This window comes from Homo sapiens, chromosome 17, assembly GCF_000001405.40.
Source record: "Homo sapiens chromosome 17, GRCh38.p14 Primary Assembly".
Classification (NCBI taxonomy): domain Eukaryota; kingdom Metazoa; phylum Chordata; class Mammalia; order Primates; family Hominidae; genus Homo; species Homo sapiens.
The window spans coordinates 57,128,171-57,155,249 of record NC_000017.11 but is presented as its reverse complement, the minus strand read 5'-3'; the positions used below and the strand labels follow the sequence as shown (position 1 = coordinate 57,155,249).

Below are 27,079 nucleotides of genomic sequence, written 5' to 3'. Positions count from 1 at the left end.
CCATTTAAGCAATTTCAAATACATTTCCGTTGCATAATTATGCAACGACTGTGGTCATAAAACATGCTGCTGCAAACTTAAGTGAAATCACCACAGATTATTATTTGCAAGAAAAATGCCCAGTTGCAAGGTAGACCTGTCATCAGCTTCTCAGTGGATTTCCATCTTGTCATTTCCCACCAACCAGTTGGCCCCAATCAGTCCACACTCAGGTTGTTGAAAAAGCCACAGAGAACAAGACCCAGCCCAGAGAGGAAACTCAATTAGCATCTAACTGGGGCTGAACAGATTGGTTTATAATGCTGTGGGTTTTGAGCTTGAAAGCAGAAGTCATTATGTTTCTGTATTTTAGGGAAAAAGGACCATTATTTGCCTTCAGGAACCTGCTACTCCTTCTATACTCCCTATTGACAGCGTTTAGAGGAGTAGTCCTCATTCCTGGCTGCACATTAGAAAACAACGCCAATGTCTAGACACCACTGTGGACCAATTCAATCAGACTTTCAGAGACGGGGGCTGGCATCAGAATTTTTAAGTGCCCAGGTGATTGCAATGTACAGCCAGGGTTAAGAACCACTAGTTTGCTAAAATGCATTGGTTCCCAAAGTGTAGTCCTTGAATCAACAGCATCAGCATCACCTGGGAACTTGTTAGAAAAGCAAATTCTTGGGCCTCACCCAAGACCCACTGAGTCAGACCCCCTGGAAATAGGACCCAGCAATCTGTATTTTAACAAGCATTCCAGGTGATTCCGATACATGCATGAATGTGAGACTCACTGAATCAGACCCCTCAGAAATAGAGCCCAGTAATCTGTAGTTCAACAAGCATTCCAGGTGATTCCAATACATGCGTTAATGTGAGAATCACGGAATCAGACCCCCGGAAATAGGGTCCAGTAATCTGTAGCTTAACAAGCATTCCAGGTGATTCCAATACATGCGTTAATGTGAGAATCACTGAATCAGACCCCTCGGAAACAGGGCCCAGTAATCTGTAGCTTAACAAGTATTCCAGGTGATTCCGATACATACGTTAATGTGAGAATCACTGAAGTCTTGGATCTCAGCAGGCTTGGGTTTCCATGCCAAATCCGCCATTTACTAGCTCCATCTCAGCCCTTGTGCAGAATCTGTACCTCCCTCAAATGCAGGATGATGAGGACTAGGACTCTTAGTAGTGGTAGAAGGAAAGAGGAAGGGAAGAAATATTAAGGGTGTAGGATGAATAGACTGGATGAAGGATTGCACGTGTGGGTGATAAGAAAGCAAAATGGAAGGTAACTTCCAGGTTGGACACCTGGATAATATTAGCCAACATTTAATTGAGTGCTGATTTTATTATGTCAGATAGTATATTAAGTGCACAATGTATATCATTGCATTTAATTCCTCATTATCCCCATTTTATAGATGATTTCCCAGCTGAGATTCAGCTTTCACATCTATAAAATGGGCCGAGACTAGGAACACAATGAGAAAGAGACAGAGGAGGAGGGGGGCCCTCCCTGGGACATGAGACTACAAAGTCACCAGAGGCAGGGCCTCTTCTAAGGCAGAGGGTGAGCCCCTGTTGGTCAACTGTGTCAACATTTTTCTCCCTTGGGATTTCATGCTGCATGACAAGTGTGGCCCTGAAATTTTGAGGAAAAGCTTTAGATGGCAGACTTGCTGTCCCTGTGGTAGAGTCCTGAAGCTTCCTGCGTCATTTGCTGGAGCTCAAGGAACGCTTGACACTTAATGAAAATGTCCCTGATCTATCCTCAGGGTTACCACCCAGAAAATGAGAATGCCACATCAGGGGCCTTGGCTAGGAGCCTCTGTTTCCCAATGAAGCCCGATCTGTGTATTCATTAAGCAGTGCTTTCAGATAACTCAAGCTGGAGGGGAAACTGGAGAACACTTGTGTCCTCTGTCTTCTCCTTGAAGGGCGTGATTGCCCATCTTGAGAAACAACTCCTTATTTGTCCTGCTTCTCTGTGGGTGGCTATACCAAAATGGTCCCTCCAGGCAACAGTCACATGGCTGGAATATGCAAGAAAAGCATATTAGAATCAGAGGCTTGGTGACACATGAAACATGGCCTCATGATTGCCACACTTCGTCCCTGCCAATGGCCCCACAGTATCCCTCATGCTCTTCAGTCACACTCCCGCCCTTAGGCCTCTCTGCCAGCCACCGCCTCTGCCTGGCTCATGTGTGCTCCAGAGGGGGCAACCTCCTCATGTCCTTCACAGCTTTGCTCAGAGGGAAGCCTTCACTGAGCCCCTCCTTGACTATCCCGTTTAAACTGCAGACTCCCCATCTCCCTCCCTCATTGCTCTGCACTTTTATCTGTATTACCTTTTAGGTCAGTATTTCTCAAACTTGAGTTGCATTAGAATCACCTGGAGGGACTGTTAAAACACCGACTGTTGGGCCCACCCCCAGAGTGTCTGATTCTAACAAGTTTTCTTGTTAGATGCTGCAGATCCAGGGACCTCACCTTAAGAGCCAAAGCACTCGCATACCACACACCTTGTTAGAGTGCAAGCCCCATGAGGGTAGGGACTTTATTTTGCTCACTGATGAATCCCAAGAGCCTAAGAGAATATCAGCCTTAGAGCAGATGCTCAATACCTATGCTTTCATTTTCATAGAATAGAGACAGTGTCTTGCTATGTTGCCCAGGCCAGTCTTAAACTCCTGGCCTCAAGCAATCCTCCGGCCTTGGCTTCCTAAAATTCTGGGATTACTGGTGTGAGCCCCTGTACCCGGCCTCAATATATACACTTTGTTGAATGAAATGCACCATAATGGTGGGTTTGGTCTTGAACACAGACAGGGCTGTCGGACTACCAAGTGCAAAGTCCACCATTTCCTAGCTATGGCCTTGGGCAGGTTATATAACCTTTTGGAGCCTCAGTTTCCTCATTTATAAAGTGGGTATAATCATGACCTACTACCAAATTTGTGGAGTCCAGTGCAAGATGGAAATGCAGCACATAGTAGTTCATTCTCACACTGCTGTAACAATATACCTGAGACTGGGTGATTTATAAAGGAAAGAGGCTTAAATGACTCACAGTTCTGCATGGCTGAGGAGTCCTCAGGAAACTTACAATCTTGGCAGAAGGCAAAGGGAGAAGCAAGCACCTTCTTCACAAGGCAGCAGGAAAGAGAGAGAGAACGCGAGGGAGGAAACGCCACACTTTAAAGCCATCAAATCTCGTGAGAACTCACTCACTATCGTGAGAACTCACTATCATGAGAACAGCAGCAGGGAGACTGCCCCCATGATCCAATCACCTCCCACCAGGCCTCTCCCTCGACACGCGGGGATTACAATTCAAGATGAGATTTGGGTGAGGACATAGAGCCAAACCACATCACAGTGACAACAGGGCATTAAACAGCGCAGGTGTCCTTCTGAGCACAGGACTCCCTATGAGCACACTGGTTGCGGGCCAGCAAAGCGGGGCAGGGGGCTGGGATTTATAATACATAGTATCTATTTCATGGGACTGCTGTGAAAAGCAAACAGGATAAGGCATGTGGAAGCACCTCACACAGTTCCTAGCACATTGTAGGTACTAAAAAAATATGAACTCCCCTCCATTCATCTAACCTTCATCTTTTGCCCTTCTGTCACCTCTCAGAACAATACATTTTCGTAGCTCCAGAAGCTCTAGTGCCTGCCTTTTTTTTTTGAGATGGAGTCTTGCTCAGTCGCTCAGGCTGGAGTGCAGTGGCACAATCTTGGCTCACTGCAACCTCCACCTCCCGGGTTCAAACGATTCTCCTGCCTCAGCCTCCCGAGTAGCTGGGATTACAAATGCACACCATCATGCCCGGCTAATTTTTGTATTTTTAGTAGAGACAGAGTTTCACCATGTTGGCCAGGCTGGTCTCTAACTACTAAGCTCAAGTAATCTGCCTGCCTTGGCCTCCCAAAGTGCTGAGATTAAAGGCATGAGCCACTGCGCCCAGCCTTCTGGTGCCTGCCTTTAAGGGTGGCCCTTCTGAGAACTCACAGAAAAGCCCTCTGCTACTGTTGACTTGGCTTTGCCAGCTGTTCCTGGGCAGAAGCAAGGACATCTCCCACCAAGAACTCTCTTTAAAATTTTTTTTTAGTAGAGACAGGGTCTTGCTACATTACCCAGGCTGGTCTTGAATTCCTGGGCTCCAGCGATCCTCCTGCCTCAGCCTCCTAAAGTGCTGGGAATACAGGTGTGAGCCACTGTGCCTAGCTCAAAGAATTCTTTGTGGCTACAAAGTCTGGCTGTTCTAGAGAGGAGCAGGCTGGGCAGTGGGAGTTGGGGGGGCCCCTTCCCACACGAGGTAACTAGTCAGGTAGAGCAGGGGAGGAGACGGCTCCCCCACACCACACACACTAGGAGTGATGGGCAACCATCAGGTGATGGTCAGGCAGTTGTTAACTGTTTCTCTAAAATAATAATTGGTCACAGCCAGCGCCAGGGAAAGGCAGTCTCCTAATAGACAGAAAACACCTAAAACTGATCAGCAACTTCCCAATAAGATCTGCAGAGTGGGGAGAAGTAACGCAAGATCCCGGAAGTATGCCAACGTATAAAACCCCAAGTCAAGAGGTCAAGCTGTGCCCTTGATCTCTCAAGTTGCCCACCTGGCCCTCTTCCAAGTGTACTTTCCTTCCTTTCCTTACTGCTCTAAAGTTTTTTAATAAGCTTTAACTCCTGCTCTAAAACTTGCCTCAGTCTCTCCTTCTTTCTTATGTCCTTCAGTCGAATTCTTTCTTCTGAGGAGGCAAAAACTGAGATTGCTGCAGACCCGTATGGATAACTACCACTGGTAACAGCCCCCATGCCCAAGAGTGGTATGGCCGGCACCAGGACTGCCCCCCTTAGATGACTGAGTGATCACGGTGACCAGCCATAGCATGAGCACGTCCCATCCAGAGCTTGTGATTGCTCCTCTCACCCACCTGAGGGGACAAACAGAACAATTATTTTTGGAACTGCAGGGCATCCCTTTCTATGACTTCACTAGCTGTGTTAGCTTGCTTCACAGGCTGAAATAAACAGACCTGGCAGAAATGACTGGTCTCTCCACAAGTGCTGGGGTGGGAAGTAGGGAAAGGAGAGGAGCCTGCCCCTCATGCGTGAACCTGAATCCTGTGGGCTGTGGACACCTACCTGGCCACAAAGCAAAGAGCCAGAGTCAGGGGCTCTGACCACTTCGGGGTCTCTGCAAACCAAGATAGGACACTGAGCCTCTTGCAATGTACACATGCTAGCACTACAGTGGGAGGGAGGCAGCGGGGAGTGGGTCCATGCGAGTCCCAACTATAAAATCCACACAGAAGATATGGTCACATTTCCCAACGGCCTCTCCCTATGTCTCCTCTTAGATCTTTTTTTAAAAAATCAACTCCCCTGGTAAGTAATGTAATTCAACTTGTAAAACATCCATTTGTGCTTAGCCTTTCAGATGAGCAACACCTATGCCGGAAGTTGTGTTCATTCTCATATACCTGTGATACATGTACACAGGTCACACATCATGGGAGCAAATAACTTCTGATGACAGAGGCTCCGCTTGTCGGGTACCACAAGGCTTCCCCTCTGTGCCCAGCAGGGTCTGGTTCGAGTCCTAGGATGGCACTTCCTGCCTATGTGGTCCTGTGCAAGTGGCTTGTCTTTCTGCTCTGCCTTTTTCTCTTTTGTCCACAGAGGAGTCATGAAGATTAGAGGTAATGAACATTAGCAAGGTGCCTAACACAGGGGAAGGTCTAATAATAGCGAATTTACAAGGTTGTTGGAATGGTTGCACGAAGCAGCAGATGTGCCTGGCCCATGGGAGCTGCCCAAAAAGTGAAGGCAGCTGAGGATCCCGGGTTAGATATCCACACGGCTTTCCCAAGATCCTACAGGACTCTCTGTCACATGCGACCACTTCCTTCCCCCTCATTTTTCCCCTCTGGCTCTTCCTTTCTTGGTTTAGTTTTCCCTTCCATGACCTCATTGACAGAGCTAGTCAGATTGGAGGCATCCTACCTCCAAAGCCCCTGCCCCGGCAGCTGGAGGGTAATGTGGAGGAGATGGGGTACAGAGGCTCCTGAGAGAAAGCAGTGTCTCCGTGGAATTTTCCTATCAGATATGGTCGCAGTGGGGCACGAGGGGGCTGCCCAGCATGCTATTCAAACTTGGACATCTCTGCAAAATGCTGCATTCACAGAGGGATACCAAATAGATCGAAAGAAGAGGATATTCATCCTACAGTTTTAAACGTATATTTTCCCTCATGCATTGCTATACGAGTGGTAACTGGTACAACCACTTCAGAAAACTAAACATACGCATACCCCAGCCAAGAGAAATGGGTGCATATATCCACCAAAAAAAAGAGTGTCCAAGAATGTTGACAGCATTTTCCTCCTAATAGCCCCAAACTGGATGCAACCCAAATGCCCATTTCAGCAAGAGAATGGGGAATATATTGCAGCATAATCACGTAATGGAATTCTACTCAACAATAAAAAGAATAAACCACTGCCATATGCAAAAACATAGGTGATTTCACAGACATTATGTTCAGAGAAAGATACCAAGCACAAAAGAATATACACTGTATTCTTCCATTTATAGGAAATCCAAGAACAGGTAAAACCAATCATTAGGTGATAGAACCCATAACGGCACTGACCTCTTCGGGGGTACTGACTTTGAAGGGGGGTGAGAGAAACTTCTAGGTGCTGTAAATATCCTGATGTCGGTAGTGGTTATGGAGGTATATACATATATAAAAAGCAAGTGGAACACCTAAGATCAGTGCACTTTCCCCATACTTCGTGCATTATACCTCAATGAAAACTAAAAAATAATTATATTCTATAGGGAAAAACTCTCTCCAGCCACATTTTTCCTCAGCTGTCACACCACAGCAATCAACACAGAATTTTTATGACCAAAGGTATGTGTGTTTCTTCCCCACACACCAAGCAGCGGACCCCAGGGGGGTGTCCTCCAATTCAGTTCAGACACTACGATAGCGTCAGCTCCCACAGGCTGAGGGCTTAGTCCCCGTGACTGCCCTCCAGCACACACCAGTGGCAAGTCCAGGCCTCTGAAACTTCTGACTGATTGGCTTCACAATTGCCCCCACCACCCTCTTTGTGTTCAATTAATTTGCTGGAGCAGCTCACAGAACTCAGGGGAACACTCGCATTTACCAGTTCATTATGAGGAATATCGCAGCCAGGCACAGTGGCTCACGCCTGTAATCCAAGCACGTTGGGAGGCCAAGGTGGGCAGATCACTCGAGGCCAGGAGTTCGAGACCAGCCTGGCCAACATGGTGAAACCTCGTCTCTGCAAAAAATACAAAAATTAGCCAGGCGTGATGGCGCATGCCTGTAATCGCAGCTACTCAAGAGGCTGAGGTGGGAGGATGGCTTTAGCCCGGGAGGTAGAGGTTGCAGTGAGCCAAGATCACACCACTGCACTCCGGCCTGGGCACAGAGCAAGACTCTGTCTCCAAAAAAGGATATTGCAAAGGATACAGATGAAGAGATGCATAGGGTATAGGAGAAAGGGCGTGGAGCTTCCATCCCCTCCCTGGGATACCAGGCTTCACACGTTCAGCTATCCGGGAGCTCCCCCAACCCAGTCCTCTTGGGTATTTATGGAAGTTTCAAAGCATTTTCCCCCCAGGGTACAGGGTGGGACCCTCTCTGAAGAAAGCCTTAAGACCCACAATCAGAAAGGCAGGGGAAGTTGAGGCTGGGTATAGTGGTTCATACCAGTGATCCCAACACTTTGTGAGGCTGAGGCGGGCGGATCACCTGAGATCAAGAGTTCAAGACTAGACTGGCCAACATGGTGAAACTGTGTCTCTACTAAAAATACAAAAATTAGCTAGCCATGGTGGTGGGCACCTGTAATTCCAGCTACTCAGGAGGCTGAGGCAGGAGAATTACTTGAACCCAGGAGGCAGAGGTTGGAGTGAGCTGAGATTGCGCCACTACACTCCAGCCTGGGTGACAAAGCGAGACTCCATCTCAATAAAAAAAGAAAATGAGAGTCCTATCTTGAGTTAGGTGAATGGAGGGCAAGAGAGAGATTCTGTTTCCTGAAGCCTGCCCCTGAGGCCTAATACACCCAACATTATAAGTAAAGGCTGTAACAGGGGCTATGGGAGATATGAAGCAGAAGCCGTGGACAACAGCCCATCTATATCATAACACCACGTATTCCATTACCGGGTTCTACTGTGTATGTGAGCTGGGAATGAATAAATCCAGTAACTGTCTTGGGAAAAGCACATTTATATTGCATCTTATTTGTTTTTATAATAATGGCCTTGATTTTAAACATGCACACATTTGAAGCACACCACAATTTTTGCAATCCGTTTTGACATTTCTCCATTGTTTAATAAACCAAAGCTTAAAGAAAGGACAATGTTCTGGCCCTCTCTGAACCTCCAGGAGGCCCCATCATGAACATAGCCACAGGATGGGCAGAGACAGGGAGGAGTCCAGAGGGGCTGTGTTCTCCACAAGACACAGCCTGGAGGTGGGGTGGGGCTTCGCCAAGTGCCAGCCCTCGGGGGCACCGATGAGGCAGAAGATGGGCTGGGGCACCCAGTCTTGGCTTGAGCCCTCTCTGCCTGCTGCTCAGAAGGAACCTGCAGCAACCCAAGCTTTCTAAAGCCCAGGCTGTGCCATTCTTTTTCATAGCTGTCAGGGCGGTATAAAGCACATTGCCTGGGCCAAGGTGCTTTTGTCCCCCTGGAAAAGAGGGCTGGAAGCTGGAAGACAGCCAGGGAACTGCCCAAAGGGGTAGTCAGGGCCAGCTTCCTGGGCATCTGTCCTGTGCAGTCACACAGGGCCTCATACTGAGAAGGGCTCCACAGTTGGTTAATACTCTGCCGTCACAGTCTTAACACTTTTTTTTTTTTTTTTTTTGAGACGGAGTTTCACTCTTGTTGCCCAGGCTGGAGTGCAATGGCGCGATCTTGGCTCACTGAAACCTCCAACTCTCGGGTTCAAGCGATTCTTCTGCCTCAGCCTCCTGAGTAGCTGGGATTACAGGCATGTGCCACCACACCTGGCTAAGTTTTGTATTTTTAGTAGAGACGGGGTTTCGCCATGTTGACCAGGCTGGTCTTGAACTCTTGACCTCAGGTGATCCACCTGCCTTGGCCTCTCAAAGTGCTAGGATTACAGGCGTGAGCCACCATGCCCGGCCTACATTATTTTTATTTTTAATTTTTTAGTTTTTTATATTTAAAAGATAGAGACGGAGGTCTCATTATGTTACCCAGGCTGGTCTTGAACTCCTGGGCTCAAGCGATCCTCCCACCTCAGCATCCCAAACTGCTTCAGCCACTGCACCCAGCAGTCTTAAAGTCTTAATCTTTGTTGAACAAGAGGCCCTGCAGTTTCATTCCCCTCCCACTCCCCACAAACGTAATGGTCAGTCCTGGAGTAGCAGACTGTGGCATTAATAGCCTATGTCTGGAGTCGGGGTTCTATTCCCAGCTCTGCCCCTTGCTGCCGGGGCATCTTGGTCAAGCCATTTAAGCTCCATGCCTCAGTGCCCTATCTGTAATATGGGGGTAACAGCTATACCCGTTCAGAAGATGTTAAGAGAATCAAATCAGCCTTCAGCTCCCAGCTTGGCACATTACAAAGTACTCAATGAAGCTCGGTGATTAGCGCTAAGATGATTGAGGGCGGATTACAGAGGCAGTACTCTTGCCTGGACCTGCCTCAGAAATGCCTTTTCTAAAGGCAGGAGCAAAAGAAAGAAGCTTTGGGATTAACTCTTCCAAAATAGCAAATGTTCTCTCTTCAGCATTAGGGCTAACACCAGTGGCATTATTACACCCCAGGAAAAATGTGTCCTCATCAAGTCACAAAAGCCTGGTTTCAACCCACAGAGGGAACAACAACAAAAACGTCTGAAATGCTGAAAAAGCCAAGAGCGTCGGGTACACGTTATCCAGCCCATCTTTGATTTGGGAGTTCACTGAAGCATGACTGATGCATGGTTATCTTGGGTCCTATATGTCTCTTCCGTAAATAGACTTTTGTTACAAGAAAAAAAATGGACTGACTTGGAAAAACAGAAAGAAACACAAGGAGCAGCGAGACTTTTTCCCTTCTCACAAAATGGACAGGTCTGAGAACTCCCAGGATCCTGGCTGTTCACAGATCAATTAACCTCCTGTAGCCTCAGTTTCTGCCCTTGTAAATGGGGAGTATGCAGGAGTGATGAGGAACACAGATTCTGGAGACAGACTCCCGGGGGCATCTTAACAATCTCACTTACCGGTTGTGTGGCCTGGGACACACACTAGGCTTCTGTGCTTCTGCTTCTACCTCCTGTAGAAGCTACAGTACCTACCTCCTGGGGTCGTTGGGAGGGTGAAGCAGGATAATATACATAAAGCGTAAGGAATGGTGCCTGGCCCAGAGTAAGTCCGCAATAAATGTTAGCTGCAGACCATGAACCTAAATCCCCCAGCTGCAGTTGTGCTGAATAATGGGAGAAGTAGTCGTAGCAGTTGTTGCTATTGTTATTTAAACTGCCGCAGGACCTCTGATCTTGTGACTTCAGGTTCCTTCTGCATATGCCTCCAAAATGTAGGAGACCCTTAAGGAGCATCAGCGATTGGTCAAGGCCTAGGGATAAGCTAAACTCAGATGAGATCTTCCCAACCTTCCCCACCCAGAGGACCATGATCATAGGCCTCAGAGTCATTTTAATGTCAGAGAAGAAAAGAACCAGCTGGGCGCAGTGGCTCACGCCTATAATCCCAACACTTTGGGAGTACGAGGCAGGCAGATTGCTTGAGCCCAGGAGTTCAAAACTAGCCTGAGTAACATGGCAAAGCCCTGTCTCTACTGAAAAAAAAAATGCAAAAATTAGACAGGCATGGTGGCACATGCCTGTAGTCCCAGTTACTCAGGAGGCTTAGGTGGGAGGATCACCTGAGCCCAGGAGGTCGAGGCTGCAGTGAGCCACTGCACTGCAGCCTGGGACACAGAGTGAGACTCAATCTCAAAAAAAAAAAAAAAAAAAAAAGAATCTTGTAGGTCAGCACGTCCACATTCCTCATTTATAGATGAGGAACTAAAGCTCAGAGAAGGCAAGTGACCTGCTCAAGGTCACACAGAACAGGAGCTGAGCTAGGAAGACAGCTCAGAGTTCATGACTTTGCACATCCGTTCCCTTCCTGTTCCCGCTTACAGCTTATTCTGTTGGAGTCCCTGGCCCCTCACAAGGTCCCCCGACCTCTCTATCTCCCAGGTGAGCATCTGTCAGGTTATGGACTCATCTAATTATTGGCCACATCCTACTAGAGACCCATTTTTCTTACTGAATCAGGCCACCATTAGGTCCTGAAAGCCCCATAAAGTCTTCTACGGATGAGCAGATCCTTTAATCTATTATTCCCGAGTCCTATTTATATATATTTATCCATATGGCTATATAAATAGGGCTTTGAGATGTATACGTGGCAGGTTATTGCTGTAGCATAGCTGTTCTCCCCAAGAGGAAAACAAAAATGATGTATGGCAGAAGCTCTTTTCCATGCAGAAAGCTCCTGTCTGATTTATTAAGAGTTAGGTTGCAGTCACATGCTCTGAAGTAGTGAATCTATTGCAAAGTTATCTAAGAGCAGGACACTCTCAGCTCCAGAAGCCAAAACAGCAAGTCTAGGGTGTGGCAAGAGCTCAAAGAATCTTACAGCAGTCACTCGCTAGGTACTTGCCATATCCCACGGTATTAACTAGGATTCCTTTGGTTGCAAGTTTAAGCAAAAAAGGGAAGCTTGTTATAAGGATATTGGGTGTCTCCAGGAACTCAAGGAGAGGCATGGGGCTGGGTCTCAAAATGGCTACAGATGCTTCTCTCTTATGCATCTCTGCCTTTCTCTGGTCCTTAGCTCCATTCTTCCCTCTTGCTCCAGATTATCATTCTCCATATGGAAGAAAACATGGCAGCCACCAGCTCCCAAGTTTTGCCTCTTACAGTTTCCACGAGCTGACTTTGTACTTTCTCTGGTCCCAAGTACAAGGAATGGAATCCAAGTTCCCCGTGTGGCTCAAGGGTCAGGAGCAGGGTCACGAACCCAGAGCAGCTGCTGCAGGAAGCATTCAATGAACTGGGTGTGGGCAGGAACAGTTCCCAGACAGTGTGGGAGAATTTTGTGTGTCATCAGACAAAGCAACCCGAATGCTTTTTCTCTATACTCACTGTGTGGACTTGGAAAAGGCACTTAGCCTCTCTGGGCTTCAGCCTCCTTCAGTGTAAAATTGGGATAATGGTGTGCTCCATAAAGGCAGTAGTTTTTTATTGTTTTGTTCACTGATATATCCCCAGTGCCTAATCAATGCCTGGAACATGTTTATGTTTAATAGATATCTATTGAATAAATAAATGAAGCTGGGCACAGTGGCTCATGCCTATAATCCCAGCACCTGCTTGTTGGGAGGCCAAAACAGGAGGATCTCTTGAGCCCAGAAGTTCAAGACCAGCCTGGGCAACATAGCGAGACTCCATCTCTACAAAAAATTTAAAAATTAGCCAGGTGTAATGGCGCATGCCTGTGGTCCCAGCTACTCTGAAAGCTAAAGTGGGAGGATTGCTTGAACCTAGGAGGTTGCGGTTGTGGTGAGCCATGTTTGTGCCACTGAACTGCAGCCTGGGTGACAGAGACAGACTCTGCCTCAATAAATAAATAAATAAATAAAATACATAAATGAATGATAACTCTGTTATTAAGATGGTTGGGAGGATTAACTGAAATAAGAAAAAGAGCTAACATTTAAAAACACTTAGGTGCCAGGAGCTGTTCTAAGCATACAACATTAATATATAGAAGACACTTCGAACAGTGCCTGGTGCATGTGTGCCCACGTAAGAGAAAACTAGGGTTCAGGAAGCAAGTAACTCGCCCGAGGTCATTAGCTAGCAAGTGGCAGAAGCAGGATTCAAATCCAGGGCTTTCTGAAACCACTATGCTCTCTTCCCCCTTCACTGACGTTCTGTAGTCCAATATTTTCCAACCCTGGGTTGTGACTGTGGGGTGGGGAGATGGGGGGAGGGTGAATAAACATAGGGTATGGAGTATGAGTCCATATGTGTAAAAAGCGTTGTGGATAAACTGAATAAATATACTGATCACAGATACATGCAGAGCCATTTCAAAATGTCTTACATATTACAGTGTTTAATGAAATACAAATTAATAATGTAAATTATTACTGAATTCAGAGTCACCTAGGATCAGGTATTTTCTCAATCAGCAAATACTACAACTACATCTGCTATTATGGAGGAGGTTTGTGAAATTGTAATTAAAAAAAAAAAAAACATTCAAAGGGCCAGGTGCAGTGGCTCACACCTGTAATCCCAGCACTTTTGGAGGCTGAGGCAGGTGGATCACCTGAGGTCAGGAGTACAAGACCAGCCTCACCAACATGGTGAAACCCAGTCTCTATTAAAAATACAAAAATTAGCTAGGCACGGTGGCACACGCCTGTAATCCCAGCTACCTGGGGGACTGAGGCAGGAGAATCACTTGAACCCGGGAGGTGGAGGTTGCAGTGAGCCAAGATTGCACCATTGCACTCCAGCCAGAATGACGAGACCAAAACTCTGTCTCAAAAAAAATACAAAAGCAAAAACAAACAAACAAAAACACTCAAATTATGAACCTCTGAGCTACGCCTACCTCCTCATGTCACAAATAAGGACAGTCAAAGTCACTCAAGGTCAAGAAGTGAGCGAGAGCAGACTCAGGGCAAGAACCCAGGTCCTGGGACCATCAAGGTTTCTAGAGTAGAAGGGGAAACTTCCTCCTTCCATTCTGATAGTACCAAGCACCAGTGAGGATGTGGAGCCACAGGGAGCCACTCTCTGCTTATGGAAGGAAAAAAAAATGGTGCTAACTAAATGACCCTCAAGAGAACAGATAGAATGAAGCATGCAATGGCTTTCTATCCGAGCATTTAGGAAAAATAGCCAGTTAAATCCATCCATAGAAATGAATCTCATGGTGGAAATATGACCACCATGGGCTTATCCTCTGCTTGCGAACACTCAGTCCTTTATCCTCTCCAGGCCCCAGTTTTCTTTCTTTCTTTTTCTTTTTTTCTTTTTTTTTTTTTTTGAGACAGAGTCTTGCTCTGTTACCCAGGCTGGAGTGCAGTGGCATGATCTCGGCTCATTGCAACCTGTGCCTCCTGAGTTCAAGCAATTCTCTTGCCTCAGCCTCCCGAGTAGCTGGGATCACAGGCATGCGCCACCATGCCCGGCTAATTTTTGTATTTTTAGTAGAGATGGGGTTTTATCATTTTGGTCAGGCTGGTCTTGAACTCCTGACCTCAAGCAATCCACCCCCATTCGGCCTCCCAAAGTGCTGGGATTACAGGCGTGAGCCACTGCACCTGGCCTCCAGGCCCCAGTTTTCTTATCTGTAAAATGGGAACTGAGGATGAGACCAGTGGTTTTCAGATTGTGTTTGCCAAAGTCCTAGCGATGCTTCACAGGGTCTGCAAACGTTTAATCTAAACATCATCTTTCAAAAATATTTAAAACTATTTTAAAACTAGAGGCAACAACGTGCATATTCTAATGTGCTTTGTTCAAAATGATAACCCCTTGCAGACCAGCGCTGCACTCATGTGGACTATCTGCTTTCCCCATTCTTCTAGAGAACTCGAAATGAGCCTCTCTCGCCTTCTCAGTTTAATTGGTGCATATCCTACGACCGCAAGGCGAGCAGCTGTCAAAATCTGTTGCCATTTTGGACTGCTTAGCTGGGAGAGTCAAGATTTTTTCAATATTGTATCACCAAAGCAAAACATGGCAATAATTTATATGTTGTGGAAGATGCTAATTGTCATCCATAACCGTAATTTCAAATTTGTATTTTTTGTTTGTTAAATCTATTTACTAATGCAATAAGAAATATTTTTTTTTTCCCTGACCAGGAAACAAACTTGGGCTGCACCGGTGAGAGAGGCACCACATCCTAACCACTAAACCTCCAGGGATGCAATATACATTTGTTAAATACACTTTCTCTTTAGGCCAGGCAAGGTAGCTCACACCTATAATCCCAGCACTTTTGGGAGGCTGAAGTGGGTGGATCACCTGAGGTCAGGAGTTCAAGACCAGCCTGGCCAACATGGCGAAACACCGTCTCTACTAAAAATACAAAAAAATTAGCCGGGCGTGGTGACACACATATATAATCCCAGCTACTTGGGAGGCTGAGGCAAGAGAATCACTTGAACCCGGGAGGCGGAGGTTGCAGTGAGCCAAGATTATGCCACTGCACTCCAGCCTGGGCGACAGAGTGGGACTCTGTCTCAAAATAAATAAATAATAAACTTTTTGGGAATAATTTTATATTCACAGAAAACTTGTAAAGATAGCACCAACAGTTCCTAAATACCCCTACCCCACTTTCACTTTTTCCTAATATTACCCACATCCATTACCATTTATCAAAACTAAGAAACCAACAGCGGTATGTCACTTTGAAGTGAACTCTAGATTTTATTCAGATTTCACTTGTTTTTCCACTGATGTCGTTTTTCTGTTCCAGGATCCAATCCAATATATCACATTGCACGTGGTCAACTTTGTATTTTCATCAATCTCGATGTCCTTATTTAATAAGTAAATATTATAAATGTGTGCATGTAGTTTCATGCTAACAAAACATCAATGTTATATGTTTTGTATAATGAAATTCCAGAAAGATTTCTTTGAGGAAAAAAAGAGGGGATCCACTGTACCTTTTTTTTTTAAGTTTGCAAACAACTAGAGGCGCTGTTCCTTAAGGCCTGGGGAGACTCTGACAGCCGTGTGATTCGGTGTCAGCACAGGATCAGGTTGCATCAGGACTTACTAAGTGAGCTAAATGTGCTCATCTCTCAGTATGGAAATTACACATCCTGTTCAGATTGAAATCGCCCTTGGCTATTCATCCTGGAGGGATGGGGACTCTCTTTTCCAATAGAATGAACGTGAAACAAATGTCCATTTATCCACTCATTCTTTTGACAAGTATTTAAGCACCTACTATGTGCCAGGCCCTCTAGGGGTGGGGAATTGTGATGAACAAAGCAGACTACTTACTGCCCTCAGAGAGCTTACAGTCCAATGGGGGAGACAATGATAAACAAGAGAGAAGTAAACTATGCCGTGCAATGGTGACTCCTGCCAAAGAGAAAAGTCAGCCTGGGAAAGGGAAAATTAAAGGGTGGTGGGGTGAAATTTTACTTTATGTAATGTAATTTTAGAGTCAGGGTTTCACTCCGTCGCCCAGGCTGGAGTGCAGTGGTGTGATCATAGCTCACTGCAGCCTCGATCTCTGGGGCTCAAGCGATCCTCCCGACTCAACCACCATGCCCAGCTAATTTTTTTTTTTTTTTTGGAGAGACAGGGGTCTTGCTATGTTGCCCAGGCTGGTCTTGAAGTCCTGGGCTCAAGTGATCCACTCACCTCAGCCTCCCAAAGCACTGGAATTACAGGCATGAGCCACCGTGCCCGGCTGAAATTTTAGGTATAAGGTGGCCACAGCAGGCTTCCTCGAGAAGGCGACTTTTGAGTAAAGGCCTGAAGGAAATGAAGGAGTACTCACCTGAGGGAAAAGCATTCTGGGCAGAGGGAAGGGCACGTGCAAAAGTGCTGGGGCAGGAGTACACCTGTGTGCTTGAGGAACAGCAAAGGGCCAGTGTGGATGAAGGGGATTGAAGGAGAGGGAGAGACTAGTCAGGAGGCGGGGATGGAAACATGGGAGACTGCAGTGAGAAGAGCCTCCTTGAAACAGCTGGGAGGCTTGTGCGGCCCCAGCAGAGGCTGAGACTTTGCAGTGCTCGCTTCCAGGGGAGTGTGGCCATGTGTGCACGTGTGTACCCCTGGGGAGGCCCAGAATGTGCCCTGACCGAGTGGAGAGGCACAGCTGTGTCTGCTTGGAGCGAGCTGAGAGCAGGGCTTGCCTGGGCTCCTGACCAGCTCCCTGAGGCACGGTGTGAGCCTGCCTCCTATGCCCACGCTGCCCTGTGAGGGGCCGATGGGGCAGAGCAGTGAGGAGCCTGGCCCAGAGCAGGAGACTGAGCAGCTTACCTGTGCTGGCAGCAGGTCCTGAACTTACTGGCCCAGGGAGAAATTAACCCTGCAGCTCTTGGAGCACTCCAGAAATGAGGAGAAACTCAGGAAAAGAGAGGAACTTCTTACAATTCATGATATGGGATGTGGGAGGCATTTTCATTTAAATGTTAAACCCAAATGTCCTTCAGCAGGTGGCTGGATTAACAAACTGTGGTACAACCATTCAGTGGAACTCAGCAGTAAAAAGGAAAGAACTATTGATACACAAAGCAAATGAATAAGTCTCAAAAAGTGATGCCGGGTGAAAGAAGCCAAGTAGAATCATACGCCTGATTCCATTTATTTAAAATTCCAGAAAATGCAAACGAATCTCCAGTGATGTAAAGCAGATTGTTGGTTGTCTGGGGGATGGGAGGGAGGGGCAGAAAGGACTACCTAGAAAAAAGTAAACTTGGGGGGTGATGGATATGTTCATTATCTTGATTGTGGTGATGAGTTCACAGATGTGTACATAGGTCAAAACTTATAAAGTTGTATGGCCGGGCGTGGTGTCTCACACCCGTAATTCCAGCATTTTGGGAGGCCAAGGCGGGTGGATAACTTGAGGTCAGGAGTTCAAGACCAGCCTAGCCAACATGGTGAAACCCCATCTCTACTAAAAATACAAAAAATTAGCCGGGCATGGTGGCGGGCACCTGTAATCCCAGCTACTCTGGAGGCTGAGGCAGCAGAATCACTTGAACCCGGGAGACAGAAGTCACAGTGAGCCGAGATTGCGCCACTGCACTCCACCCTACGTGACACAGTGAGACTCTGTCTCAAAAAACAAAAAACTTTTAAAGTTGCATACTTTAAAGACGTACAGTTTATTTTATTCTAATTATACATCAATAAAGTTAAAAAATGTAAATGGCCTATACACTTCAAATACAAGTTAGAGGTGGTCAGAACGGGGAAAGTAAAAGATGTGACTTTATTTTGTGTTCCAAGATATTATTTATATTACATATATTAAAAATATGATTATGTATTCTACATTTTATGTATATATATATGATTACATACTAAAACGTATATTTATACGTGTATTTATATTAAATATATTTGATTTTCTCATTTATATTTTCATATGATTTCATAGATTTATAAATGTCTTATGTTGTGTGTTACATATAATTGCTTGTATGCATTTTTAGATTATGAAAATACTGGAGAGCTGTGTTTATATAGAGAATCCCAGATGTCAGCTGGGGTCTCCTGGCCCCATAAGGTGGGTAGCATTGATTAGACCGCCCATTTCTATTTCCACAGTCCAAAACTATCTCCAAAATTTCTCCAAATTCCAGAGAGCTGAGTTTCTAGACTTCCAGCCTCCCCCAAATCCTGCTCAGCCCTGGGTCTCCTGGCTGTGGCTTTATCTCCACTCTGGTTAAGCATTCATAAATGAGACATCTCTTCCTTTCCCTCCTCGTTTCCTGGCCCGACACCACCTCACCCCCAGCCCCATCTCCAAGCACCTCAAATACAAGGCTGCTACCCGAAACCGAATCGGCACCACAGGGCAAACACCTTAAAAGGGCGCGTGGTATTCCTCAGGCCGCCCTGGCCGGGACTTCCTCCCCTGCGGCCACGCCACCCCAGCCTTCCCTCCCTCCCCATCTCCCCTTCCAGTCCCCTCTCTCCTCTTTGTTCCTCCCTGTGGGATCAGGTTCTTCTCTGCCCCCAAATTCTTCCCTTTTCAGAGCAGCGCAATTCTGCTGGTCCAGAACCTCCTCCCAAACTCTCAGATGCTCGGCAGAACAGAAGGCCCACAGAGAGATAGCTGCAACTGCCAAGAGCTATTTTTTTCTGCCTCCCGCATCTGTAGGTTTGTGACTCTACGCGCCTTCGTAGCCACGTGCATCTGCACGCACGCTTACACGGGGAAGAAATACCCCAAGATGCTAACCCGAAAAGCAGAACCTGGGAATTGGCAGGCTACCCCTCTTGGGTTCCCTCCTCCCCTCCCCACGCCCACGTTCCGGGGCCCTCAGGACTCCTGCCTCGCCCCCTCACTCTCTGAAGTGTCTTTCCTTCCTGTCCCAAACTGTTGCTCTGCCTTCCCACTCTGCCTCAAAGGCCTGCCTTTCCTGAGCGAGTAGCAAGCCAGCCAGTACAAAGGCTGAATAAACAGTCAGTGGAAATTAACTTGAACGTTCAGGGAGAAGAACAAAGACTTTCCATGTGAGCTGGGGAAGGAATCATAATTGCCAGAGAGAGAGGGGCGGCCCAGACGCCCGGTTGCAAGAGACACAAGAAGCTGCGTTGTTGACAGTGGCGGAGACAGACAGGCACGATGCTGATTTGATAAGTGGAAGGGCGAGAATTCTAATGTAATGATGCTGATGGAGAGGGAAATGAGGACTCAGAGCGGAGAGGCAGGTGAGGGGTCCCTAAGGCAGCCAGCTGAGGTCTTTGTGCCTGAACGGGGGATCCCAGCTTCGCACCCTGAGAGCAGGGCCTGGGCAGCAGGTGTTCTGATGGCAGCTGCACCCTGGGGCCATAATTACAGCCAAGGAGCATCCCATGGCGGTTCCAGGGGAAAGTGGAGGGAGGACTGGCAACTGGGTCTCCAGCGTGGGGGAAATGACGGGCCCCTATGGACCTAGAGAGATGGGGTAGCCGCGACTCTGGAAGAACGCATAGAAGCAGACACAGCTGGCCTGCTTGAGATTTCTACAGAGAAGCATTCAGCAGATCTTGTCTTCAGGCCGCAGCTAAGGGACATAAATAATAAAATATAGATTGAGTGCAACCTGGATGCCAGGGCTTCATGTTTAAGTCCTACAATCACCTTTTGAGGCGGCACTATTATTGACCCTAGTTTATAGAGGAGCAAACTGAGGCCCAGAGAAGTGGAGTAACTTCCCGAAGATCACACAGCTCTTAACTGGCACAGCCAACCCAGAACTGTCCAGGCATGTACATTTGCCTTTGCAGGTTGGGAGGTTTCAGCCTTAGTGACACATTGATGTGGTCAGAGATCTAAGGTTCAAGGGTCTAAAGCCTGGCAGGATCCGGCTTTTTCTTCATATCACTCACAAGTATCCTGACAGGCCTAGTCTGCATCCACCAGAGGCTAAGATGGCACCACCTGTCCAAAACCTTCCACGAGTCACAAGGTGCAGAGGAGGTTCCCTGCCACTGGTGTGAGCTGCTCACTGGGTATTCCGCACCCATTTTCTCATCAGACCTTACCTGACCCCAAAGTGGGGTGCTTAGAGGGAATATAAGGAAGGCCCTTTCAAAGGGGCCTGAGATGCTGGAACACACAAGACAAGGATGCAGTCATGGAATTCCCTTTGGGCATCTCACCCTCTGTTAAATGCACCTCTATCTATAGTATTTGCTTGGGGGAAATGGACTTACTTGTTTATTCATTCGACAAAATATTTTTGAGAGCAGATGATGTTCTGGGTCCTGTTTTATATGCTGGGGTTACATAATAAAAAACTACGCCCTGCTCTGGAGGGGCCCACAGTACCAGCAGCTGAATCACAGCAGGCCATGGGAACTGAGGGGCCGCCATTCCACACCTGGGGGGAGGCCAGGGTGAGGGTTCAGAAATTCTTTCTGGAGAAGGGAGCCTCAGAGTGCAGTGTTAGGGGAAAGGCAGGGGGTGGAGGTGGGGAGAGAACGCAGACTTTCTGCAGTTTAGAAGACTGGAAGTGGGGCTTGGTGAGCCAGGAGGCTCTGGTGGCCATGGGGTTCTGGGAGCCTTTCTGGATGGTATTGGAAGCCTCTGTTGGGGGCACTAAGAATGGCTGGTGCCTCTGATCCAGCTGGAAATGGGGATAAAAGAAAGATTCCAGGCCAGGCGCAGTGGCTGACACCTGTAATCGCAGCACTTTGGGAGGCCAAGGTGGGTGGATCACTTGAGGTTAGTAGTTTAAGACCAGCCTGGCCAACATGGTGAAACCCCATCTCTACTAAAAATACAAAAATTAGCCGGACATGGTGGCACACACCTGTAATCCAAGCTACTTGGGAGGCTGAGGCAGGAGAATTGCTTGAAACCGGGAGGCGGAGGTTGCAGTGAGCTGAGATCACACCACTGAACTCCAGCCTGGGCAACAGAGCGAGACTCTGTCAAAAAAAAAGAAGAAAGAAAAGAAAGAAACAGAAAAAGAGAGAGGGAGGGAGGGAGGAAGGAAGGGGAAGGGGAAGCAGAAGGGAAGGGAGGGAAGGAAGGAAAGGAAAAAAGAAAGAAAAGAAACAAAGATTCCAGAGTGTTTCTCTCCCTGCAAGAAATGGAGGAGACTTCCCAGGACCCTTGCTGGGTATCCTGGGGCTGGTCTGCCAGGATCTAAAACATGGGAACCAGCATCTTCCGGAGGGAAGCCACACCAGGCCACCTCCATACCTCCCAGTAATTGACAGGAGGGATGCTCAGGGTCTCCGTTGCTCTCTGAGTCACACCATGTTCTATATGTACGTGGCCTGAGGACACGCTATAAATATTCATGGCTGGAAAAACAAGGTGAGAGTACAGTCATGCTCCAGAAGAAACCACGGAGGGCAACTGGCTTTCACTGGGCAACTTTGCTTCCCGCCTTTAAATGCTAGGTCAAAGCCCGAGGAAGAACTAAACCTTCTAAAACCCAGTTTCCTTAATTTGTTTAACAAAAGACATCTCCATGCTCTGTGGCCTCTTAATTTCCGTAGATGTTAAAGTGCAGAGAATTAAAGAATCAATGGACAATTAAGGAGGCACTGGCAGATTCTGGCCAAGAGCATATTATTTATTTATTCAGCCAGCCATGCTCATTTTTAAAGCGCTAACTTTCCATTTTGTTTCTGACATCAAAAATAAATCAAACTGAACTGTACACGTCATAGCTGAAAAAAATTATTTGCATGATACATTGCCCCTTTGAAGCCTCAGTAGCCATCTGCAAAAGGAATTTTTGTCAGTGTCAAAACAACAACAAAAAGATACGCGTTCATTCCGGCACCAGCTTTTTCTTAGGAAACAGACAGGATTGAAAAAAACAGAAATAAGATTTTAATTCACTAGTGATTTTTCCATGCAGTCTCAAGCTTCTTTTTGATTTCTGAGCATCCATTTTCCTGGGTCATCTAGAGAGGGTTGCAAGATTCTAGTCCATTAACACAGTGGTAGTTTGGTGAAATCTCAACAGGCAGAGACAAGCAGCCAGAGTGGGGACACAGGTTGGCTGAGGGCTCCCTGCAGCACTCAGCCAGCCCCTGTGTTTCTGCTCCTGGTCCAAGACCTTGCCCCTAAGTTGTGGGTCCCCTAGTAACCCCTCCTTTCCCTCTATCCAGCTGACAGCATTGGATATGTCTTACCTAAAAAGGAAAATACAAAATTGCCATCCGATATCTTGTTCCTTAAAGGTTCCCTGATTGGGACAAGCGCTGTGGAATTGTTCTTGCACTGTGACCTTCACTCAGCAGCCCTTCCTCAGTCCACCCTCCCTCACCCCCTCCAGCCCACCCTCCCTCACCCCCTCCAGCCGGCCCACCCTCACCCCCTCCAGCCCACCCACCCTCACCCCCTCCAGCCGGCCCACCCTCACCCCCTGCAGCACACCCACCCTCACCCCCTCCAGCACACCCACCCTCACCCCCTCCAACACACCCACCCTCACCCCCTCCAACACACCCACCCTCACCCCCTCCAGCCCGCCCACCCTCACCCCCTCCAGCACGCCCACCCTCACCCCCTCCAGCCAGCCCATCCTCACCCGCTCCAGCACACCCACCCTCACCCCCTCCAGCCCGCCCACCCTCACCCCCTCCAACACACCCACCCTCACCCCCTCCAACACACCCACCCTCACCCCCTCCAGCACACCCACCCTCACCCCCTCCAGCACACCCACCCTCACCCCCTCCAACACACCCACCCTCACCCCCTCCAGCACGCCCACCCTCACCCCCTCCAGCACGCCCACCCTCACCCCCTCCAGCCAGCCCATCCTCACCCGCTCCAGCACACCCACCCTCACCCCCTCCAGCCCACCCACCCTCACCCCCTCCAACACACCCACCCTCACCCCCTCCAACACACCCACCCTCACCCCCTCCAACACACCCACCCTCACCCCCTCCAGCACACCCACCCTCACCCCCTCCAGCACGCCCACCCTCACCCCCTCCAGCCGGCCCATCCTCACCCGCTCCAGCACACCCACCCTCACCCCCTCCAGCCGGCCCATCCTCACCCGCTCCAGCACGCCCACCCTCACCCCCTCCAGCACGCCCACCCTCACCCCCTCCAGCACACCCACCCTCACCCCCTCCAGCACGCCCACCCTCACCCCCTCCAGCCGGCCCATCCTCACCCGCTCCAGCACGCCCACCCTCACCCCCTCCAGCCGGCCCATCCTCACCCCCTCCAGCACACCCACCCTCACCCCCTCCAGCCGGCCCATCCTCACCCGCTCCAGCACACCCACCCTCACCCCCTCCAGCACGCCCACCCTCACCCCCTCCAACACACCCACCCTCACCCCCTCCAACACACCCACCCTCACCCCCTCCAACACACCCACCCTCACCCCCTCCAGCACACCCACCCTCACCCCCTCCAGCACACCCACCCTCACCCCCTCCAGCCGGCCCATCCTCACCCCCTCCAGCACACCCACCCTCACCCCCTCCAGCCGGCCCATCCTCACCCGCTCCAGCACACCCACCCTCACCCCCTGCAGCCGGCCCACCCTCTATTTCACCGCTTCCTGCTCACTTCTTCCCAAGTTACCCAGAGGCTGATTCTAGGACCGTGATTTTCAAACTTAAGTGTGCATCAGGACAGTGTGTTAAAAGAGTTTGGATTCAGGAGGTCTGGGGGAGGACCTGAGAATGTGCGTTTCTATTAAGTTCTAATAATAAGATCGCTTGGAGGACGGCTGTTCTAACTACTGGGTGCGGGGTGGGGGTGGGGGGAGGTGGAAGGCGGGGAGGACACTTCCAGTAGCTTGTGCTGTGGCGCCATCTAGTGGTCTAAGACACAGTGGCAGCAATCTGTGCTGTGTGCATTGAGTAACCCTGAAATCTAGCCCTCTCCAAGCGCCTTCACCTTTATCATCTCTATTTTTTTAAGTAAGTGTTTTATTGAAGATAAATGATCACTTTTCATACTCTGAACAACCACAAGAGAATGGGATCTTTACAGACTGTGTCCTGCCCAAAGTCCCACAGCGACAGAACTGAGACTGGAAGACGGCTGTTTTAAGGCGAGAAACTTTCAACTGTGCAAATAGACTTTGGTATTTGTCCTCGGGATACTTCCAGCCTAAGGCAAGACATTGGAAGACAGCAACACAGCCACCCAGATTACACAATAATTAAACCCTAACTTAACCAAAAACTTAGTCCCGAACACTTCCTAGCAGCCAAGTCAACGTAGGAAACAAGGATTCCATCAATTCACAACCTAAAGCAAGGGAGCATGCCTGTTTATGAGTAAAATCAAATGGTCCCTAGTTATAGGAGCAGTGGGCATGAGTTTAGCCTGGGAGGCTTATTGAAAATGTAGAGTCCAGGTCCCAGCACTTTGCTTTTTTTAACAAGCACTCCAGGTAAACTGAGGCTAATGGCCTGAGCTCCCTCATTTGAGAAACACTGTCTGAAAGGGTATGACCTCCTATAATGATGTTCCTCCACCCCATGCTGTCCAACAGGACTAAGAGGCACACATGTGATCTTAGCATGTCCACTAGCCACCCTTTAAAAAAACAAGTGTAACCGGTGAAACTCCGTCTCTACTAAAAATACAAAAAAAAAAAAAATTAGCCGGGTGTGGTGGCGGGCACTTGTAGTCCCAGCTACTCAGGATGCTGAGGCAGGAGAATGGCGTGAACCCGGGAGGTAGAGCTTGCAGTGAGCTGAGATCGCGCCACTGCACTCCAGCCTGGGTGACAGAGTGAGACTCTGTCTCAAAAAAAGAAAAAAAAAGTGTAACTATGTTTTATTTAACCCGCAATGTCCAAAATAATATTTCAATGTGTAATTATTATTTTTCTTATAAGGTGTATATTTTATATTTATAACACTTCTCAATTCAGACAAGTCACGGTTCAAATGCTCAATAGCCCCAGATGGCCAATGGCTACCCTATTGGATAGTGGAATGCAGTCCATTAAAACTTTCTGTGACGATGGAAGTCACCTGCATTCAGGCATCATTTATTGAGTAATTTCTATATGCCAGGCCTTGTGGTAAGAGCTTTACATGCTCTAGGCCATTTCAGCCTCACATCAACCCTATGTTAGTAGTCTCAAGATAGAGAGGGTGTTGTGAATCTCCGACTCCCACTACCACGTTCATATATTCAGATGGCCGTATTCAAAATGACCCGGAGAACACAGAAGAAAGAATTTTGTCAAGAGTCTGAGCTAGGCGGCAGCAGATATTGAGGGCTCTGGCAGGGGAGACAGGAGGTTGAGACTGAAATCCAATCAACAGTGATAATAGGAAGAGATGTAAACACTGAACCGGAGGGCCGGGTGGGAGTTGTACTGGAACTGTGTGTCTGGTTGGATAGGGCTCATTGGTGGCAAGCAACAGAAATGGATTAGGGATTTATTGGAAGGCTACTGAGGAAACTCACAGAACGGCTGCTGGAAGAGCTCAACCACTGCCCTCAGAGCAGCACTTGGCAGCATGAGTTGACAGCCATCTCTCTAGAGCAAGGATTTTTTTTTTTTTTTTTTTTTTTGAGATGGAGTTTCACTCTTTCACCCAGGCTGGAGTGAAGTGGTGCGATCTCAGCTCACCGCAACCTCCACCCTCCGAGTTCAAGCTATTCTCCTGCCTCAGCTTCTCAAGTAGCTGAGATTATCGGCACCTGCCACCATGCCTGGCTAATTTTTGTACTTTTAGTAGAGACAGGGTTTTACCATGTTGGCCAGGGTGGTCTTGAACTCCTGACCTCAGGTGATCTGCCCACCTAAGCCTCCCAAAGTGCTGGGATTACAGGCTTGAGCCACTGTGCCCAGCTGGGAACAGGGATTCTTGATTCCAGCAGCAAATCAGAATCACCTGGTGAGCTTTAACAATCCAAATACATAGATGGGCGAGGTGGCTCCTGCTTATAATCCCAGCACTTTAGGGGGTTGAGGCAGGAGGACTGCTTGAGTCCAGGAGTCCTAGACCAGTCTGGGCAACATGGTGAAACCCCATCTCTACAATAAATACGAAAATTAGCCAGGCATGGTGACACGAGCCTGTAGTTCCAGCTACTTGGGAGACTGAGGTAGGAGGATCCCTTGGGCCCAGGAGGCAGAGGTTGCAGTGAGCCAAAATTGTGCCACTGCACTCCAGCCTGGGCAACAGAGATCCTGTCTCAAAAAAACAAAAAAAAATCCCAAGACACAAATAATTACTGGAGCTAAACATGTTCCTGCTCTGTGGTGTGTGACCCTCACAGGTGTGTGCCCAAGAGAAATGAATACATGCATCCACTAAAAATACAAAAATGAAGGATAGGAGCTTTATGCATTACAGCCTAAAACCAGAAACCTCAATGAACATCAAAGAATGGGTAAATAAATTGTAGTATATTCATACAGTGGGATGCACACAAGAGAGCTGAGGTACGTGCCATCTCAGGCAAAACGGTGAGTGCAAACACTAAGATGCAAGAGTGCAGACTGCATCATCCCATTAACACGAAGTTCCAGAGTAGGAAAATTAACATTTTATTTATTTATTTATTTTTTTTTGAGACGGAGTCTCGCTCTGTCATCCAGGCTGGAGTGCGGTGGCGCGATCTCCGCTCACTGTAAGCTCCGCCTCCTGGGTTCACGCCATTCTCCTGCCTCAGCCTCCCGAGTAGCTGGGACTACAGGTGCCCGCCACCACGCCCGGCTAATTTTTTGTATTTTTAGTAGAGACGGGGTTTCACCGTGTTAGCCAGGATGGTCTCGATCTCCTGACCTCGTGATCCACCCTCCTCGGTCTCCCAAAGTGCTGG

At 48.1% G+C, this 27,079-nt stretch overlaps 2 annotated features.

The window, feature by feature from the left end:
* Positions 3,296 to 3,496: a silencer, noted in NCBI's record as "peak2909 fragment used in MPRA reporter construct". NCBI's record gives its function as "represses an SCP1 promoter by STARR-seq MPRAs in K562 erythroleukemia cells {active_cell/tissue: K562}" and the evidence as "EXISTENCE:reporter gene assay evidence [ECO:0000049][PMID:32103011]".
* Positions 19,055 to 19,586: an enhancer, noted in NCBI's record as "H3K27ac-H3K4me1 hESC enhancer chr17:55213025-55213556 (GRCh37/hg19 assembly coordinates)". NCBI's record gives its function as "activates a minimal SCP1, AML or CMV promoter by ChIP-STARR-seq in primed H9 embryonic stem cells {active_cell/tissue: H9 hESC(primed)}" and the evidence as "EXISTENCE:reporter gene assay evidence [ECO:0000049][PMID:30033119]".